General features: G+C 40.1%; 1 protein-coding gene across 9 annotated transcripts in view, besides 1 other annotated feature; it reads right to left on the reverse strand.

Annotated features, from left to right (window-relative positions):
- HS6ST2 (heparan sulfate 6-O-sulfotransferase 2) overlaps positions 1-21880 on the reverse strand; it is a 335356-nt gene that overhangs the window by 64147 nt on the left and 249329 nt on the right. For 6 of the 9 annotated variants that reach the window (XM_047442618.1, NM_001077188.2, NM_001394073.1 and 3 more), the window contains one exon: positions 18301-18333. The exons of the other annotated variants lie outside the window; for them this stretch is intronic. In XM_047442618.1, the coding sequence (XP_047298574.1) occupies positions 18301-18333 (33 nt within the window). The remainder of the gene's footprint in view (positions 1-18300; positions 18334-21880) is intronic. 9 annotated transcript variants of the gene reach the window in all.
- Positions 20184-21383: an enhancer, noted in NCBI's record as "BRD4-independent group 4 enhancer chrX:131844373-131845572 (GRCh37/hg19 assembly coordinates)". NCBI's record gives its function as "activates an origin of replication core promoter dependent on BRD2, P300/CBP, MED14 and CDK7 cofactors, and independent of BRD4, by STARR-seq in HCT116 cells {active_cell/tissue: HCT116}" and the evidence as "EXISTENCE:reporter gene assay evidence [ECO:0000049][PMID:35650434]".

Raw genomic sequence — 21880 nt, forward strand, 5'->3', positions numbered from 1 at the left:
TATATTTTTCAAATGTCACAAAACATTGTTCTTAATTTTTTCACCTGTTTGAGAATATAAAAACTATTATTAGCTTACTGGCCATACCAAAAACAAACAAACAAACATGTAATGGACTGGATTTGGCCTGGGGACATAATTTGCCAACCTCTGATGTAAAACCCTAAATTGGCAACTTCCCTAGGAAATGGAAAGAGTCTTCAATTTCCCAAAGTACTAACTTCCAAAACAGAAAGTAGTTGAAGCTCTGGGAGATTCAGCTGTTTTATGTTCAAACATTAGCTGTTTATCCCAGAGAATGTAGGAATTTTGAAAAAAGAGTCAACTTTGGTTTGTTCCTCATACAGAGGTTTCTCCCTTAACCTCTTCCTTTCTCCTTAGCCTGTTCTCTTTATCTTCTTCTGTTTTGTCTCCACCCCAGTAACAACAGTTTATTTTTCGTGTTTTTGGAATTCAAGAGAAGTATCTAGAAATCCATTATCAGCATTTATTCCTGACTTTAAATCTTCCATTGATTTGTCTCCTATATCTCCTCACTGTACCTTAAGTCTATTCCCATTCTGAGACAATTTTATTTTACACCCAGAATATTTTAATGTTTTTATCTATAAATCCTTTAAGAAATTACAGGAACATAAAGTGAAACCTTTCTCAGCCCTCTTTTTAAAAAAGGAGTTCAAACTCCTCTTTGGGTAAGGGATCCCAGTCTACAACACACTGTCCTTTAAAATGCCACCAGTAGAGCCATGGATAACAATGGGAGTTCAACACAAGATGTTATGGTGAAAAGCACTATGCAGACTATAAAGTGGTATCTATGTTATCGTTGGTCGCATTATTATGCCAAGTGCCAAGGATGCTAACTTGTGAAAGTGAATTTTTGTGAAAGAGGCAATGTTTTCACTGGGCTACTGGAGTTATTCCCAAGAGACAGATGAAGTACTGCTCCCATCGAAGAAGGCAAAGCAGCTGGATTGTAGACCCGATTCTAGCTCTGCTTCTGCTAAGGACCAGTCGAGGACAAAGGGTAAGTCATTAACTTCTGTGAGCCTTCCTACTTATCTTGCAAAATGGAAAGGTTTGGGCAGACCCTTAAGGGCTCTTCCATGTTATGATCTCTAAGGGTTTGGGCTGTAAATGACAACAGAGGAGGAAAATGAACCTTGCTGAGCAACTACTAGGTGCTACCTCTTAACGTCAGAAAAATGATCACATGAAATAACTCCCTTAACCGCTCTTGTCTGGTTGTCCCTAGGCATTATAGGAGCAAAGCAGGTTGTGGTTCCACAGTCAGTTACTTCATGTGTCAAGATTGCCTGGTTGCTGCCATGGTCTTCCCCAAAACAAAGTTTAGATCTTTCTTAAAATTTGTTACTATTTATTACATATCTGGAAGGTTAAGCACAGCGCAACCCCAAACAAGAAAAAGTCAATAAGCCCTAATGTTGTTTTACAGAAATGTCTCTATGGGCTGTAGTATTTGAATGCTTTGGGCAAAATAAAACCCTTCAGGACAAAAGCTACTTCTAACACATCATTGAAAAGGCAACAACCGCTGAGGGCTTTCTCTATTCTTTATCTTGAAATCCAGGCAGTTTCTCCCCAGTTCTGTTAAAAATAAATCTCTTTACCCTCACTAGACAAATCTTAATAAGTTGCATATTTTTAACAGCTCCACACTCCTTGGGTATCTTGTCTTAGTCTGACAAGGTACAACATCATGAGTGATCCATATGTGAGGGACAAAGGGGCACTGTGGCTGGCAGGTGTTACCCTCTGACTTCTGCAAGGCTCAAAAGCACTGGCTAAAACCCATCGGGTGAAGAAACAACAGGAAAAGTATCTGTTTTCAAGTTTGTTGCTTGGAGTCCGGGAGACAGGGGAAGTTAGTTGTTTATAGAACAATTTATGGTTACAATTTCAATGGCTGATTACTTGATTTCTTCATCCAGCTCTTAATCACAGATCAAACACTGGTTCCAATAATGAAGTAATTTTAGGCATGATTACAGTCTCCTACTGAGGACTTTTGCCTAGGAACAAGGAGCTCCCAGCCCACGCTCAGTTTAACAATGATCAGGACAAGTGATGCAACTGCAGTTCTTCCGCCCGGGTGACACAGCCCTTAGGACTATCACTTCCCCGCTTTCACACTGAGAGTTGTTTGCTCAGTGTGGTCAGTGCAGTGATGGTGAGAGTATGGTATTTATCCATCACAGCGCCAACCCGCTCCCTTCTTTGCTCCACAGTTAAGCTACTATTATCTTTGGAAGAAACAGCTGTTTTCTCCTTCCCCTGCTTGACAACCGTACGCAGCTCCTTATTGCCTACTTAATCAGGTCTATGTCTCAGCATGGCTTTCAATACCCTCCGAGATGGAACCTGGCCTTACATATTTTCTAAATGCCACACCACAACCCTTCCCAGATCCTCCATGCTGGTCCTTGCCTCTGGGCCTTTACAAAGCCACTTTCTCTAACAGGATAGCACTTCCCCATCTTCTCCTCTCCACAAAATCCTGCTTCTCTTTGAAAACCCACATCTGCCTTTCCTGTTGAATAGTCTTCTCTACAGCCTCAGGCAACAACAAATTGCTTCCTCTTGGCTCCACTTTGCTCAGACCTGATTATATTGCACTGATTCATAGGCTCTGTCTGTACCTTTCTCACTATTTCCACCTTCTGTGGATTGCAGGCTTTTTGAGGGCATATGGACCATGTCTCATGTCCCTATTTCCCCCAACTCCTTTACACCCAGGCTGTGTGGTTCTCGGCAAATGTTTGTTGAATGAGCCTGGATGGCATATAACTGTTAAGTGTGTATTTGATTTATAGCAGAGGGGGTAACAGAAAAATCCTCTTTTGTAGGGGTATGAAATGACCTCCTCCACTCCCGGTAGAAATAGCTACCTATTCTTGGCCACACTCGTGATACCATTTTCCCTCCCACATAGGTAAATGTCTCATATGACGAATATGGTAGATATCAGGACAGGCAGAGCAGACCCTGTGGACTGACCCAGGTGATAGGCTACAAGTCACAATTACTTTCAGGAGATAGAGGGCTTGAGGTCTAAAACTCTGACATTTGCAGGCAGAGCTGGTTTAAGAGCAATACTAGAAATGGGATCAGAGTCCTGCCACGGCTTCCTAGCCATTGGTGTAGAGGCCGATGCTGCAGAAGTGACCTTCATAAAATTCTCAGACAGCAAAGAAAGCAGGATTTACTAGTGGTGTCAAAAGGATCTAGGAATAAAGAGTTTCAGGGAAGGCCAACCTTCTCTAACTGGTGTCTAGGGAAAGATCTCAGAGGGCAGAGCCTGGAAGGGGGGCAAGATACAAGAAGAAAAGCCATTCCTACAGTGGTGTTTTGAACTCCAGTAGATAGTTAAATAAAGGAGAGGCGATAAAGGAGATGAAGGTTGAGCTCAGTTAAAATTATTAGGGAACCCCATGTTCAATGTGGTTCAATGTGGTTTTTCACCACCAGCCGAGTGTTAACTATCTAAACCACCTGTTAAATATCTGTCCCTAAAGTCATTAAGATTTTGCTTGAACCCAAGGATAGCTTTTGAATTTAAATAGCCCTTCCAGTCTAGAAAGGGGATTTTAAAAGGGAAGTGAGCTAGTAAATACACAAGCAGAGATTGAACTTTCTTATCTCCCTAAGACACTGAGGATGGTCTCAGCCTCCCCCACAACCTGTGTGCACTGAAAACCTCTAAATCACATGTACAGCACCATGTCACCCGTCAATACTCAGGGAATGGGTCTACAATAAATGCACAGATTTTGTTTTTCAAACATATTCCCTGAGAAAAACTGAGAAAGCAATCACAAACATTCAGCAATTTAACGTGTTTTAACATAACCAATTGTTTGAAAATAAGACTCGTGCCCTCATCCCACAAACACTGAGTGCCTACTGGTGCCAGGCACTGTGGAGGGTACTAGACAGACAAAAATGAATGAGACAACAGCACCAGACTCGAGCGGTGCACAGCCTGGTAAGGGATACAGATGATTCAAAAACAATGTGGCTCCTCTTCTACCACTTGACTGCAGCTGCCCTCTAAAAAGTCATCAGTGACTTCCTGCTGGCCAAGACCAGTGACCTCTTTTTAAGAATTGGACTCCTTGGCAATCCTATTCCTATGACATTTCAAGAAAGACTGGAATGAACATAAGGACCCAGCCCTGCAGATATCTAGGGGAAGAGCATTCCAGGTAGAAAGAGGAGCAAATACAAAGGCCCTGAGGCAGCAAGAGGCCTGGTATATTTAAGGTAAAGCAAGGAGACCAGTGTGATTAGAGAAAAATGGGCCTGAGGCAGGGTAATAAAATATAAAGTCAGAGATGGAGCTTGCAGGAACCTTGCAGGGTTGGTTGTTGAAGGAGATGGAGAGCCACTGCTGGGCTGGGAAAAGAGGAATGACAACATCTCAATTAACATTTTAAAAGGGTTATCACTGTGGTTAGACAAGACTGTAGGGGTCCAATAAAGGAAGCAGGGGAGCCAGCTAGTAGGCTTTTACAGAAGCCCATGTAAGAAATGATGGCGGCTTGGACTAGGATGACAGAGCTGATGGTGGCGAGAGGCGGTCAAATTCCAGATATATTATGCAGGTGAAGTAGACAGAATTTGCTAGTGGATTAGACATGGCCTGGGGGAGAAAAAGATATGCAAAAGATACCTTGAAGATTTTCCCCTGAGCAACTGGTAAGGACAGAGATGCCACTCACTGAGGCGGGGAAGATTGGGAGAGGACCACGTTCTGGGGAAATGTCAGGAGTTTGTCTGGGGGCAGGTGAAGTTTGAGATCCCAACTAAACCTCCCAGTAGAGACAGGAGTGGTGTGAGAGTTGCAGGAGTCTGGACCCCAGGGACGAGGTGGCGCTGGAGATATATGTGGAAGCCAAGCCTCTCTTGTGTCTTTCAGCATCCTCTCTCGCTAGCTACAATGACTCAACCAAACCCATCCGCCACTTGGTATAAGAGCAAGCTTGACTGCAGCCAGCCTGGCTTCTTCATCCTCACACATCATGCCCACCCTAGCCTGTGTTCTCAGGGCTCACTTGTCCTGGAAGAGTAAGGCTTCCAGTGATGGCAAAAACCTCTTAAGAAAGTACTATGGTAATGGGTGCAATACAGATTGTTATCCTAATGCACTATCTTTCTCTAAGGAAACACAATTTTGATGGAGTTGCTTTTCATAGATTCTTATAAAATGTACTAGCATCAAAATGTGAAGCTCTAGATGTATTCAAAATGGTGTCCCAGATACCAAAGGAGTTTCTTGAGAAACAAATGCTTAATCAGATTTTCCCAAAGGGGTACCTACTATCAGCTCATGTGCCCTCAGATTAAACTATGGGGGTATTATTTTGGGGAAGGCTGATAAATTATAAGCAGTCAAAGTAAGAAAAATCACACTATATTACATCTTGCAAAAACCAATGGAAGTGAAATAAACCAGATACTAAAATCCATCTGTAAGTCCTCATCATTTTGCTGCACTCACTTGAGTGCATTGTTAGCACCTTACTAAAGTCATTCGCTGGCTGGGAGCTCGACAAGTACTAATTATTCTCTTCATTTCCATGCCCCTGCAAACAAGACTCACAAAAGTTTAAAAGTGGTTACCTTTGAAAGCCTGGTGAACACAGCGTGCTTAAAATTATCCATAGAACATTACAACCAGACAGATATCCAGACAGAAAGTTGGACAAGAATATGCATGGTAGGTTATGTGAGTTTTTTCATCCTCAAGTGTTAAGAGTTAGAAGAGTAGGCTGAGTTCTTCCATTTGGGCATCAGAGGTCATTTGCAGATCCTGACATAACTAATCCTCTGAGTCGGTGGAGGAAAGGGTCGGCCAAGCCAGTCAGAAAAGGTCTGAATGCTGGCCTCCAGGAAGCTGGGCAAGTGCTAGGTAAAAGGAAATCTGCCAAGTTTTCACCATGGCAGTATCAAAAGCGATGAGACGATTTTGTGGATCTGGCTGCTGCTCTCTGTGATTCACAGTTCACTGGTCTACCATGATTTGGGCTTTGTTCTATTTTTGTGAAACTTGTGTATGCATGTATGTGGCCAGTCTGTCTGTCTCCATGCCTGCCCGTGTATATCTTTACCTACCCACCTGCCTGCCTTTTCATTTACCTTGCAGCTAAGAGTAGAACCAGGGAGTTGGTAAGTTCTATAGAGTCATATTCTAGTCCATCCCTTCATCTTACACATGAAGAAACCAAGGCCCAGAGAGCAGTGACCTGACCAAGGTCTCTCAGTAAATTTCATGACAGAGTTGGAAGGTAATCAATAGGGTGGCTGATTTTCAGTTCTTGGTCTCTGTCCACCTCTGGCTCAGCCTCTTGCTACTTTCTCTCTCTGTGTCTCTTTATCTCTGCATTTCTATTCCTGTGCCTGTCTCTGTGTCTCTCACAAACACATGAGCTTTGGGAAATTAACCTTGGTTTGGCAGATGTTCTACTGTTTCACTACTTTCTTACAAATGAATACATCCTTATAAATATTTAGTAGACTCCCATTATTTTACTGCAGTACCTCAGCTCCAAACTTTGGTCATGTTTCGGTAATATTCCCTTTTGCAAAAAGGTCACACTAAGCGCCTTTATTATGACACAGATGTTGCTTTCCCTGTGGGATTATTAGGAAATATCTCAAGGCTAGTTTCTTAAATTAATTTTTATGATACCTCTTCTTCCCACAAGTTGACCCTTACCTTAGAGTATTTAAAATACTGCACATATTTCCCCATGGCAAATCAAGAATTCACTTTTAATTTGATCCACACCTTCCAATGTAACTTGTTGATAGTAAAAAAGAAAGGAAGAACATTGCTTGCATTTTCATCAAATAACACTGTAATCTATTACATGTCATATACAAAATACCTTTTAACTTGAAAAGTCACAAAAAGAAAATACTCTCTAGGGGATTTTCCCAATCCTGTAGAATGTGACTTGCCACTTTCTGTTTTCTTTGGATTTATATGAGAAGGGAAATGAGCATATCAGGTGTGTTGGATATTCTTTCCAGTTTGTTGTCTGTTTTAGACTATAAGCTCCCAGAAGACAGGGCTACATTAATCCTCTGTTCAGTGTCTATTTAGTGTCTTATGCAAACAGTCAATGAATCTGTGCTTTTGGCTCAGATTTGCTACTAGAAATGGAGCTGGTGTTGCAAAAAGAAAAAAAGAGAAAGAAAAATTAAGGCCGGCTCTTCACAACAGGTCACATGAGAGTTATTCTGAATCGGTCTGGTTCTACATTCAAGAAGAAACCACAGAATATTACCTATAAAAGCTACTTATTTTGAAACTAGACCTCACCATTATACCTGCCTTTAAAACTGGCAGATAGATTGAAAGTGTATGCATGTGAATCATGCCAAGAGTCCAAAGATATTTATATGAGGTGAAGAAATGAACATACCTGCCCCATCACTAGCTTTAGCAAACCATAGAATAGTTCCCTTAGTAGTTTCTGACCCAACGACTCAACCTAGAGCAGACTCCTTGAAGTACCAAGTATCTACGTTTATACATATTAGTATGAACCATATTCTACCACAACGGTTAGTTCTATCTCCCAAATTCAATGTGAGCTCCATAAAGACAGGATCTCTCTCTAATTCACCTCTGTACTCCCAGTGCCTGGCAGAGTAGTTGCTCAAGTAAACACCCATGGAGAATATCAATGCTTCTCAAGACAGGGAGCTAACGTCACACTAAAGATGTAATTAAATGGCTATCATTGGCTTCTTCTCATTTTACAAAACCATCTCTATTAGATATCCTTTAATGGGGACATGTCTAGAACGATCACTAAACGGACATGGTAGATATCACTTAAGTTAGTACAAGAAGGAGCACACAAGGGGTCCTCAATTCTCCTATCATGGCTTCCTTTGTCTGTTCATCTTCATCTTGACATTCTAGCTTATAACATTCTTGCCTTTCCTAGACTCAAATTGATTGTATCTCATCGAAGTGGTGTATTAGCATTCTACAGATTTATTTGATACAAAATAGCATAAATGAAACTCCACTTTATTTGGACTAATGAAATGAGAGAACTAAATTATAATTGTGACAGAATCAAATTTCACATGTTACTGCTGTACTACATAGTTTGGAATGTCTCTGAATGTTTATTTTATGTACCAATATAACAGCTAAAGTACATTTGCCAATGATGACAAGGGTTGACCAGAATTGAGGAGAGGCAGAGAACTGGAGACAGTGCTGTTGGTAGCTATAGATGCCTAAATGCTTGCCAAAGGATAACACCCATTGCTGGAGCCCTTTCACTGCCTTTAAAAACATGGGCGTGCTTATCACTAGTTAGTGTAGTATATATTTTTACTGACACTCAAAAATATTACAGTAATTACATATATACCCTCATTTGGGGGCAAAACTTTTATCAATCAATTTGATCTTCCATTATATATTTATAAGACCTGGCCCCATATCATTTTTGATGTTTCCAAAAATCAAATCCATCCACAAAGGATAAGTTTGCCCCACAATGAGGTTATTCCAAAGGCTACATATCCCCTATCTAGCACTCCACTTAATTCTTTCATAACATTCATCACAATATGGACACATTTTGTTGACTTGCTTCCTCCAAATTATCTATATCTGCCACCAGAATATAAGCTCCCTGAGAGAAGGAACTATATTTGTCTTATTCAATTGTCATATCTCTAGCATTAAGAATCGTGCTGAATTATGGTAGGTGCTCAATAAGTGTATCTGTAATGACTGAATTAATTAATGTAGTAGTACATTTTCAATCACATTACTGGAAAATCACCAAGTTAAGAGGCCCCCTCCAGTTTCTCCAAATCTATTGAAGGACACTACCTGTTTTCCCTCAGCCCCAGAATGACCCAGAGCCAATTGACCTATGATTGTAGGCCATGAAAATTAGTGAACAAAAGTACCCATTGCCAAGACATAAAATACCTCCTGCATGAGAAGGGGAAATCAGAGATCCTGTGCTTGAGATTGTTGTAGGACAGAAAGCTAGGGGCCTCTCCCCAACCCCTACCCCAGTTATCCCACTTTGACTCCAAATAGGGAAATATTCAGGTACTCATGTTAAATTACAGTTACTGTGGGTTAAATTTAAAATCAGCCCCAAGAGTGTTGTTTTATTTATACATATTTTGATAGCATTGTAAAGGAGACACTGAATCTGCTCATATAGAGAGGAATAAATGAGGCTTTCTGGACTCTCCTGGTGGATTGCTTTACATGTGATTTCATGATCACTGAGTATTAAATCACATGGCTCTTCAACAATAAAACATTGTGTTATTTTCAGAGACTCTTCCTCAAAAAGCTCTTATCCCATTTCATTTTCTCATATAAGATGCAAGCATTTATAATTACAACTAATTCGTTTTTTGAGACTCTGTATTTCATCTCTTATGAATTTCAGAAAACCTCTATTAATTAGGAGGTTTTCCAGCAAAAGAATATCACAGTGACCACTTTCCCCTGCACAGGTTCAGAAAGTGGATTATGGTCTAAAAGGTGTGAGTCAGAAAATGGCTCCTGCCTAAAGCATCACACAATGTCCATTTCTTCCCTGTAGCTTTTATTCCTTTTCATGCAAACAAGCAGCAGTGAGCTTAAGAAACACTTTACTTTGTCTCATGCATCATCTATGACATTGTCAAATCAATTCATATGAAAAAACGGGAGAAAGACTATGCACAGTCTCCTCACACAGCCTCATGTGGATTTATATGTCAATATAGAAACAATCAGTAAAGGCCATTAAAGACCTATTTATGCCAGTTTAGGATGACTCTGACATTCCACCACTGTACATAGTAGCCTTCTTTTAGGTCTCCTGACAAATGAACAAGAGCTCCCAGGGAAGAGAAGGCAAACTGTGCCCTGTGGTGAGCAGAAATCAAGTTAGAATTGTAGAAGCCATGAGAAGAAAGACCAATGCACCACCAAATGCCGTTTACGGATGGTTTGTACCATACCCATTGCCCAAATTAGAAAAGTGGAAAAGTTTTGAAACCACACAAGATATTGATGAAGCTCCCTTGTAATTCTAGTGTCTGGCTGATGAGGCAAGGTTGAGAAAATCAATGGAGGTCTGGAAAATCAATGGAGCTCATTGAATAGTAAGCCAATGAAAGTGAAGGGACAGGAAGCTTCATGGTAGCACAGTGACCGTCATTTTTTTCTGAGGTGCAATTTTAAGATTTTGGAGAAGAGCCATTTGTCAAGAGGAAATCTTTCAGTTCCGAAAGAGGAACAGAAATAATCTAATAGTTTCTAACTTGTTAAATAGTGTTCTCCATTTTATGTGCACATAAGATCATATATATATATATATATATGGTTGTGCCATGAGTGCCCTGGTCAAGACCGTGAGACCAAACTAATGGAAAACATTAGAGATGAAAAACCATACAGAATAGAAAAACAGAAAGACAAGGAGAAGGCCACAAATATGCCTGGAAAGAGACTCAAAGTACTGAGAACCCTAAACAAAAGACATTTCAATCTTCAGATGGAGAATGGGCTACAGCTGTCATTAAGAATGAGCATTAAAGAGATGATGTGTACCTTTAAATATGGATCCCCAGTCTATAGCCGCAATCCTCTCTTTCTTCATTTTATTTTAAGCTAAATCTTGAGTTTTAGGCTTTATTTCCAATCCAACCACTCTCACCTCTATGCGATCCTGTACTATCTGTCAGCTGGCCCCAACCCCTCCAAAACAAAATTCCTTTTACCTGTTTCTAAGGGATTTTGTCCACCTTTGTTGATAAAGTCCTTTGAGCATAATGAATTAAAAGTGCTGGCAACAAACGTAGCGCTAAGAATTAAACGGCAAAAGCAAGCCAAAAATTCAGCGAGTTTAGTTAATTACCAATCAAGATACTGGATAGGATTCAGTTGACTTGTGTTCTTCTCTTGCATCTGCCACTAATTAGCTGCACGTACTTAGATAAGTCATTGCCTTGATGTGCATCTATTTTCTCACCTGCAGAAAATAACAGCCTTTTCAATTAAAATCATACAAGGACTCACTGTGCTGTGTGCCTTCCTCACTTCTTTCTCTATACCCCACTCCTTTTCTATGTCAAGAATCTCTGTGACTGTAAATCAGAGTTGCATTTCTAGGAGTTTCCAAACTCTCTTGGTTCCTCTTCTCCTGAAGATTCCTTTACCACAGAATCATGCTCAGCTTTTCTCTGGATTTTTAAAAAACTGCTTTCCCAAAATCTAGTCATGGAGTTGATTGTTGTATTTAGAACACAGCCAAGTATCTGAGTGATAAGTGGAATAGTAAGTGACGACACAGAAGTTTTAAAGAAGGGAGATGCAAGGGTACTTGGGATATTGGCAACATTCTGGTGCACCTTCTCCAAACCCACCCCACCTGCTTCCCCATCTTCTCCCACAGAGCTCAATGGGACAGGACGGGAGGTGTGAGAGGAGTTAGGGAAGGCAAACTTTCTAACTCCTACCTCAGTTCCTACCTGGGGCTTTAACTAGGTGCTGAGGAAGACAACAAAATGATGGCTGGAAGAATCCGAATGGCCTTCTAAGAGTTAACATGCTTTTCTTGGCACCTAACTCACTAGCAAGCAACACCTATGCCATAGCATTTTGAAACCACCAAACATTTTAGTGGTGTTTGGCTTTTTAGTTTTTTGAAGATTCCCTGTGGTCAAGCTGAAAAGACAATGAACTTTCAGATATTCACATTTAAGAAACTGACAATTGAATCTGCTGTGCTGAATTGCTGCTCTAGCTGGCAGAGGTTAAAACAAGACACAATGTTTTAAGTTCCTGTGACATTTACAAGAATTGTAAAGCTAGCTTTTGTCGGAAAATGTATGCTTAATCTAAGCACTTCTGATACACTGGAAAATGTTCCTGCATATCCACTTTACAAAATTAAACAGCATATTGAAAAGAGATTTTGGCTCCGTCTCTGAAAACAACTAATTGTACTACTTTCGAACTAAAGAGAACCTCCAGGATCATCTATTTAACTTTGAACACTAATTTTAACAATAGCTTTTCCCTTTACAGAAATAGGCAAAGCCAAATGCTTACTAACTCTTAATGCTTGCGTTTTTCTTTCAATAGGTAGTTTGCCTTGAGTAACAAAAATGCACTGAGTAATCAAGTAAAATATCCTTAAAGGATTAGCATCCATTTATATTCTATAACAGGGAAGAGCGTGAACATGCTGAATTCTAATACTGACTACGACAAGAAAAGTGTGGAACACATATTTGACAGGAGGCTACATTAGTTTACTCTTCAGGACTAGCTGAAGGGAGGTTGTCCTAATAGTACAGTGGCAAGAAGCAACAAAATGAGAATGCATACCGAGTCCAGGATATCATGAAATGGAGGAAACCAAAGGACCCAAAGTGTAACTGAAGTCTGTACAAAATCAACAAAAGCAAAGAGCAAAATTCACCTCCTTAGGGAGGCCTTCTCTGATCACTCTCCAACTGTCTGACCATTCTCTGTCCAATGTGTTTGATTTCTTCATGGCACTTACCACTCCCTATGATAATCTTGTTCATTTACTTGTGTACTTTGTTTTCAATTTCCCTCCAACACACACACACACACACACTTTAAGAAACACAAGAGAAGGGACCTTGTCTGTCGTATTGTCCCCCATGTCTAGAACAGTGCCTGGATCATAATAAGTGCTCAATAGATACATATTGAATGAATAAATCTAAGAAAGGAAAGAGAAGTTATATTATGATTGATGAAAACCATGAGAATAAAGGCATTTGAGACTCTAAATTCAAGGATGTTTTTAATCATTCTTACCTCCAGTGAGAATAACAGAATGTCTCTAACTCACGCAAGGCAAAGGAAATAGAAGCACTGGCCAATGTGCACATCATTATAATGAGAGGTTTTGTGCCGTGAGAGATCTGAAGGAGAAGCTAGCATAGTGGAACAGAGGGTGGCTGCCATCTACATAGCTCTGACAGGAGCTCTGGGCATCCAAGTAGATCTCTAGGTTTACTGATGCAATGAGGGATCCTTGGGACCTGAGAGGGACCATGAAGGGGACTTTGAAACTGACAGCTGGGACCAAGAACACTTGGAATTGAGACTTACAGACAAAGGCCCATGCCAAATTTCTGAAGGGGAGAATGGCATGCAACCATGAAGTCAAGGAACTCACAAGTAGATGATTCCCACTTGGAGGACAAAATGGTCTTCAAATATGCCATATGGTAGTAGCTCAAACAGGAGTGACTGTACTGCATTTTGAGAAGGTAGAGAATGGGACCATTCTTCTGCAAAAAGGGATATTGTCCTCTGTGCTAAAGATATCAGCCCTGAGCCTGCAGTTTCTGTAGAAATAACTCATTTACAACTAATTCTCCTGACAATAGTACACACATTAACCAGGAGTTGTCTATTCCTTTACTCTAATTAAGTTTTAGGGTTAGACATAATCATTCTTACCCTGGCCTGGAACACTGGCAAGCCAACTTGAAATGTAAAACCCCAAAGCAATTCAATATTTACTAAATTTAAAGGAAGTAATCAATTTCTAATTCAGATTTATGTACATTCCTTTCCCACTTTAACACTGTCTTATTTCCCTTAAGTTCCTCTTTGGTCATTAAGATTGTCAGCAAGATTATGGCCATTGAACAATTTGTGACATGTTGCAGATATTTCTAAACTAAATTAAATTGTCAATGTACCTGCATATAACAAAAAAAAATGTATTAGACACTTAAGGACAGAGACCCTATATGTTCTATATTCACAGCTGTGTTGCTCCACAGAGAGCTTGGCATGTTCTGTAAATATCTGCAGAATGAATGAAAGAAAAAAATCTATCACTGATAGAATTATTTGCACACATTCAAAATCTCAGGCACACCTGACCCAGCATATGTGTATGTGTCTACACACACATTTGCTCTCACAAAATTCCCACCTGCTCATCATTCAAGTTCAGTACATCATCTTTCCCCTTGGCACGTGCGTTTCTTAAACAAAACACTGAAACAAGATTAATGATAATAAGTGTCCAAAGAAAGACGATTTTGGCCAGGCATGGTGGCTCACGCCGGTAATCCCAGTACTTTGGGAGGCCAAGGTGGGTGGATCACCTGAGGTCAGGAGTCCAAGACCAGCCTGACCAACATAGTGAAACTCTGTCTCTACTAAAAATACAAAATTAGCCAGGTGTGGTGGCACATGCCTGAAATCCCAGCTACTTGGGAGGCTGAGGCAGGAGAATTGCTTGAACCCAGGAGGCGGAGGTTGCAGTGAACTGAGATCGCGCCATTGAACTCCAGTCTGGGTAACAAGAGCGAAAAAAACTCGTCTCAAAAAAAAAGAAAAGAAAAGAAAGATGATTTTAATTAACACTTCTTCCAAACATGCCAATCTTCCAGCACCTAAAAACTGAACTCAATTTTCATCTTAGGAAGCTGTTCCCTTATCCCTAGAAAATATAAACCTTTTAAAGTTCCAACTGCCAATTGACATCTCCAGTGCATAATAACAGAAATTCACAGTTTATCTGTTATGCCTCCCCTGGAAAGCTCAGTTTGAAGCACTTTGCTAACTTAGACCACTGTTACTTCTGCTCAGACTAATGCTCCATACTTGTGCCTTGTTTTCAACCCTTAATACTTCTGAAGCTAGATTCCTCCATCTGCATTCCTGAGAAGGATGACAAAAGCCAGACTACGCTTTCAGTCTCCTAGGACATCCTGCCCTGGAGATTCTCAGCAGGCAATTGGAAATTGGAGTTAGCCTGGGGCTCCGGAATGAATTAAGGGTTGGAGAGGTCAATTTGGGAATCATTAGTGTAGAGGTTAAAGGTGAAGCTATGTGAGGAGGTGAAGTTACCCAGGGAGAAAATATAGCAACAGAAGAGAAGCAGATCAATGACAGGACCTTGGGAATTGCTCTATTTAAAGGGGCAGTGGGGGAGGGAGAAGATGTGGGCACGCGTGTGTGTGTGTGTGTGTGTGTGTGTGTACGTGTGGAAAAGAGATCCCAACAAAGGAAACCTAAGGAATGTAGAGAAGACATCAAGATAGATTATGAACCCTTTCAAGCAAGAGAATATGTGCAAAAGTGCCAGAATCTCCAAAGAGGTCAAGAAGACTGAGGCCAGGGAAGAGGCCATTGAATTGTGAAACATGGTGGTCACAGGTAACCTTTGGGAAAGCAGTCTTTCTGATGCAAATCTTATGAACTTGTGTGCCCAAATATGCATGTGTACAGGTGTATGTGTAAGTACCCCAAATCACTGTAAGATTAAATATACTATTGAGTGAGGCTGCCGCTGGGTATGCCAAAAAACGATGGTAATAACCACCATTATCGACTGTTTACTATGTGACAGGAACAGTGCTAAGCACTTGATATGCACGATCTCATTTTAATCCTCAAAACAAGCCTATATACTGGCTACATTTCACATATAAGAAAACTACCTGAAGCCAACAGAGATGAACTAAATTACCCAACGTCACACAGCTGGAAAGTAGCAGCGCCAGGATTGGACCCGAGGTCAGTTTGACTCTAAACGCCTAGACTGTCAGTCACTGATGTAATGTTTCCACTATAGTAATGTTAATTAGGTAATCTATGCATGAAGGAAAGAGAGCTGATATTGGTTGAGTGTCTCATTGCCAGGTGATTTGCATAGAACATCTCCTTTCACACATATACCATCAACATTATGGCTATGTTTAGGTAAGCCTTATGAGGGCATATTTTTAAAATTCTGATTCAGTTGTTTTGAAAATAAGTTGAAACTATATGATTCCCAAACAACCAGTTATCATTCAAACTTACTATAATAGTTCCCAACGTTTGAAAGGTACAAAAAAAAAAAAGTGTGGCATCATTGATTTGGTGGTTGTTATCAAGATTCAAATTACTGACAATCATACTCATCTGAAAAAGGAGGGAGTGTGACGGGATGATCTTAAAGCTCCCCTCCAGCCTGGACTTTCTATGATTCTTATATGCAGGTCTAATGCCAATAATTTTAAAGATATGAAATATGTAGTAGAATGTAAATGCAGCAGCAGAACTGATTGGCATGTCAGCATCCTTTTATTCATTAACTTTATAGAGGTCTATTGTTAAAATATTATAAAAATAAGTCTGGCTGTTCAAGGCATTGATTGCTAACTGAAACTTGGAAACTCCATTACAAGATGATACACTGAAAATCCAACAAAATAATTTGCTTACAGTCAACTGCAGACCCTATGATACAGTTGGCTATAGGAAAAAGAGAGAGAGATTGACAGGCACTCTGGCTATTAATGTTTTTGCTGTCCTTAGAAAAACAAATGAGGTTCTGGTCTGAAGCAATTAGTATCGCTGTTAATTGTGCAAGTGTGTAGCAATAATACTAGGCATTTGGGATGGCTTCCACTGATTGTTCCCTTCTTTCTCTGGATTACAAAAATCTATTCAGACAACTAAAAAATAGCAAGTACTTATGCAAATTGTTAATTATGAGGCAGCGATAATCATAATCTTGTATATTTATGAAACTGCATATACAATGGGGATTACCAAAAATGTTATTTGTTTTATTGCTTTACTAGTGGTTGAAAAATATGCTAGCCTTGCAAATAGTTTTCATACATCATTCAGCTCACCAAAATTCAAAAAGGGCCCCATTGATATTTACCAAAACCGTTTCTTTCCCATCTCACCATCTGTACTCCTCTTGTTTTCTCTCATTAAGACCAGGTATTAGTTGCTCTGGCAATAATCTGGTCCAACTAATCAACACCATAGTAAAAATAAAGAGTGTGTCAGGATTTGCTTTGTTATACAGCAAAACTGTTTTAAAGAGATGGTCCTATCATCTAGCAATTTTAAAGCAAAAAGAAAACAAAATTCTCAAGACTTCCCCATAAAAGCTATTATAGGGATAGTGGTACCTATGTTATTGACCATTGTCTTAATGGTCATCCGCTCCATTTTATTTTACAGGCGAGGAAATTAAGGCTCAGAGTGGAGCTAGTGCTTGACAAAAGTCACCTCATTAGTAACAGAACTTGGTACTTTGCCTCCATGACACACCCAATCTATGATATTTAAATGTTCTCCCATACTAATACTGTGTGATTAGGTGTCTATGTGTGTCTGTGCCATTTAGCTCAATAAATTATAATCTGACTACAAAATTAAACACTAAATTTACTATTCTCAGCTGTCAAGTAAATCCATTGAGGCTCTAATGGGAGTATGGAAGCCCAGCTACAGAAAGCTAAACTGGGCATCCCCAAAATGGCTCAAGTAGTCTATTTTAATGGGAGTCTGTCCTTGTGGAGAAATGCCAGAGCTACAGTCTTTGCTCTTGCTAACCTATTTGGCCAGGGAGCACAGGGTGGATTGTAGGTGGGTATTAAGAAAAAACAGAGGCACTAGTAAATATTTCTGGAGCCAATAAGCCTACAAAAAGCCAAAGACAGTACTGGTGAGCATCATGACCTTAGAAAACAATGTGCCAAGCGACTAGAGCACACATTTCCAAAATGACTTATGGTTCTTGCTAGACTCTCCGGTTCTGGTGGCAATATGATGGTACAGCTCTTAGCAACAGTTGTTGCCTGCAGGGGCATCATCTGGGAGCATTCTCAGCGTCCGTCTTCCCCACAGAGAGGAACTTTCTTGTATTTGATTAGATTTGCTCTCCTGCAGGCTTCATGTCAAAAAGGCCTCTGGCCTATGGGATTACTTGTAAATATGCAAGTCTACGTATTTACATACGTTAAAAGCCCTGATATTTTCAAATAATTGATTTCCCTTCAAGGAAATGCTGACCTACTTGTTCTCTAAATCACAATCCAGCCTAGGGACAGGCAGACGTGCCTGAAGCACTGTAAAGAACACTTTGCCAACGGTTGGGGTCTTCTCAACAACACACTCTACTGTGTCATCCTATTTCAGCAAAAAGAGGAAAAAGAGCTAATGACCTACTGCACACCTGTCTGGGGTGGTCGCCCTGAACATTCATCCCCCTTCTGAACTAAGTCAGCCTTCAGAACTGAGACTCCAAGCCTGGGTAGTTTCAGCTGTTTTAAACTAAAAAAAAAAAAAAAAAAAAAAAAAAAAAGCCCTGGAAAGAATTTGTCCAAGCCAAAAACTTAACTATTTGTTGTACTGAAATTAAACGGACAGGCAACTGCAGAGTCTCTTTTTTCTAGCTTACTTGGGTTCAGTCAAACTAAAAATACATTGTTACTTACCTTGCTGCATCTAGAATCTGAAAAATCCTCCACCTGTTAAAGGAACAGTAAAACCAGTCGCTAGCAAGAGCTTGGTAGGAGAGGAGATAAAATAATAAAAGTTTTCCATTGTGCTTTAAGAGCATATTTCTCCAGCTTCCCAAACCTTAGGGAAACAGCTCATAGATGGCTTCTCCACTTTGTTCCCCACTGGCTCCTCTCAAGTAATGGGGAGATTCCCAATCAGAAGGCTAAAAGGGGCAAGGCTGCACTGAGAGCCAGATCCCTGGAGTGCTGTGGTCTGGGAATGATGGATCTACCACTCACTCATGCTAATTCCATTCCCCTTCACAGAGAGCAATGGGAATCTAGGTAAAAAAACAAAAGCCAATAAAACAAAACCCAAACCAAACCCAACCCTGTGGCATCACTGAAATGGAAATGACTGATTGAAAGGTCCTAGGAGGAATTGGCAGGGATTTTTCATATTATCAGGAATATACGAAACACAAATAACAAAAGGAAAATAAAGAACAATTAAACTTTACTGATGCTCTTTAAAAAGATGAAAATTCAAAGCACACATAAGGTGATATATAAATCATCTCTCTAGTCCCTTCCACCCAAACACAAGACATCCATCAAAGTAAGCAATGTCTCCCCATTCAAAAAACATGCTCAGCTGTTTTTATAATGTATGTCTTAAGGGTCACAAAACACTCATTCCACTGTGTGAATTACTGATATTATTAGCAGGCGGAGACTGTGAAGTTATACACAGGTCAGTTGCTAATTTGAGGGTTCAAATGGGCTCAGTTAGCCTTTTGTTTTTTATTATGCCAGAACAAGGAATTTTACAATGTAGCAACACTTCTTTTATGCCCGAAGTGGGCTATATAGCCTGTGCATTTTCTTGGGAGAAATGTTTCTTTACAGCAAATACGCTTTGCAGGCCTTAGAAGTGAGTTAAGAGAGCCTTTTTTAATAGCATGGCTAGCAGCAGAGCCTTTGAATCATCATTTGAGAAGCAATACATGGCTCTTTTATTATCAGTCTCTGGTGCGGTTAAGCCCCCTTTCCCTGTTTCTGAGCTGTTAAGACTGCTGGGGAAGCAAATGTCATGAGAAACAAAAGCGATATACTTGGTGAGGCCTAACATCAAATCTGTTAGACAAGACACTCCTATTAGTGGACTTACCATCCAGAGCCCAATGTGCTCGTCTTCTACTCCAGCCGCAAGAAATAAGTAATCTACAATGTACTGACCTACCCCATGATTTAGAGTCCCTACACAGTGAAGAGAGGCTATGATCCCTTCCACAAAATTTGGCCTTGTGAACAAAAACAACACAACTTTGGGTGAAAAGACAAAACACACACACACACACACACACACACACAAGAAAATATTTTTAGAAGGAAAACATAAAGCCATATATTGATTCCTAGGATCAGAAAATTCCAAAGTTAAGTATGCAGCAGTTTCCAAAGCCATAATTTTTATTTCACTGTACTAACAGAAATTCTCAAATGATGTTAAGTGTATAAATAATTGATTTATATGGGAACGGGATCAAATTTAACTTTAATCACTATTATTGTCTCTTGAGTTTTTTTATTTCTAGGTAAACTTCTTGACTGCCTTATAAAATTTGCCTGGTGATTGCACTGAGAAGACTTTTGGAAGCTCATTGCCTTACCTGGGAGCCCAGGTGGGAAGAGGTGGAGTATTGAGTGACGATCCATGAAGACGTTACAGGTGCATCAATCAAAAGGGTGGCCAGTCATCAGAAGTGAGCCAAAGTTCATAGGGAAAAGGTAAAACAAAAGATACATACTAATTAGAAGAGAATGAATTAATTTTAAGAACCCATTTTATGCATACACACACACACTCTCTTTGGGAAGGTTGTTTAATGAAATCCTTTAAAAAGGCCCTTTAATCATGATGTTTTATTAAAAAATATTTATTATCTATTATGTGCTAGCCATTGTTAGAGGTACTGAGGTTAGAGGTACTGAGTAGTGAATAAAACAGACAAAAATCCCTGACTCTACAGAGTTTACAATCTTGTGGAATATTTTTAGGCCATCTGCTTGGAAAAGAGTTCTACAGAAATATACTGTATATTATCAATTCTAGGAAAGAGTTTCTCCCTGTTTTATTTATGCCTTTGTTTATGTATGGAGAACATACTCGATGGCATCAGATTAAACATTTGCATTAGAAAGAATTCTCTTTTGGATTGGAAGGGACGTTACAAATTCATAATTTCTCCTTGTGGAAAGCCCTCCCAACAGGCTGTAAATCAGGTTTCTTTTCAGCTGGGCCATTTGCTGCCCAGAGAATGCCACTTGCTTGCACCTTGAAATACTGTAAAAACAGGAAGCCTCTAAGTGGCAGTTTCATAATACTGTAGTCCCACATCCCAACAGAGTCTTTCTCATTTGTTGCTGTCATGTTCTTTAACAGCTGGCCTGGCTGACACTCTAAGATGGGATTCATCAGCCCTCAGCAAGCCACATCCTGGGAAAGCAGCAGCACTGGAAGGACAAAAGGAGCTGTGGTTACCATGCCCATGACCCAGACACTGGCTGGAGAAAAAGCCATAGGAATAACCTTCCTCTGAGCCAGGTTCCAGAAGATGTGACTAAATGTCACTCAAATGGTACTTAGGCAACTGACTAAGCATCCAATAAGCAGGGAAGGCAAAAGATGAAAATGAAGAGAACACATATATAGCACTGGAGTAATGGGAATAGCGGGAGACTTGGGAATCCAAAAGCTCCAGATGTGGATTCATCCTAATCAGGAACCTCAGACCATGACACTTATGCTTGGCATTTACATTCTCAGGGTGGGTGCTTAGGGCTTGAGAAATGAAAGTGAAACGATTCACTTTTGTATGAAGGATCCAAATTAAGACTTGGAAAACCCAGGATGAGGTAAAAATCCAAGAGCCCTTGACTGAGAATCAGGATCCCTGGTTTTTAATCCAGGTTTTACCAATGACTCATTTGATCTTGGGCAAATTCTCTTCTCCACTCTCCCAGTGGGCTGTATGACATGAACGAGCTTGACAAGATGGTTTCTAAAATTCCCCCAGTTCCAATATTCTTTCATTCTCTAATAGCTTTCCCTTGATGTTACTTAGAAGTATACCAATCCCTAGTCATTTTCTCAGTACAACATGCTATTAGTAGTTCACAGAGCCCAGAGCACAGCCTTCGAAGAGTTTATGAGTAAATGAGAGTATGTCCAAAATCATAATGGCCAAATTTAAATGCAGCTGAACATCATTCTGTCCAGAGAAACAGCTTTGTTAATTTGAAACATAGAGTGGCAGATTCTTTATGATGGAAAAATTATAGAAGGAAACTTAATTGAGAAAAACAAGAAAAATCGAATTGATGAACAATTGACCCTCTTGCACCGCCACCACCCTCCACATTTCTCTTTCTGTTCATGCAGGTTCTTCATCTGCCAGGAGCCTGGGATATTGGTGATGGCTGTTCAACAGCAGAGACCTCCACAGCCACACACTTCCATATAACAGCTAGAGAGAAGGAAGTTGTTAAGAAACCCACACCAACACTGTTT

This window comes from Homo sapiens, chromosome X (genome assembly GCF_000001405.40).
Source record: "Homo sapiens chromosome X, GRCh38.p14 Primary Assembly".
NCBI lineage: Eukaryota > Metazoa > Chordata > Mammalia > Primates > Hominidae > Homo > Homo sapiens.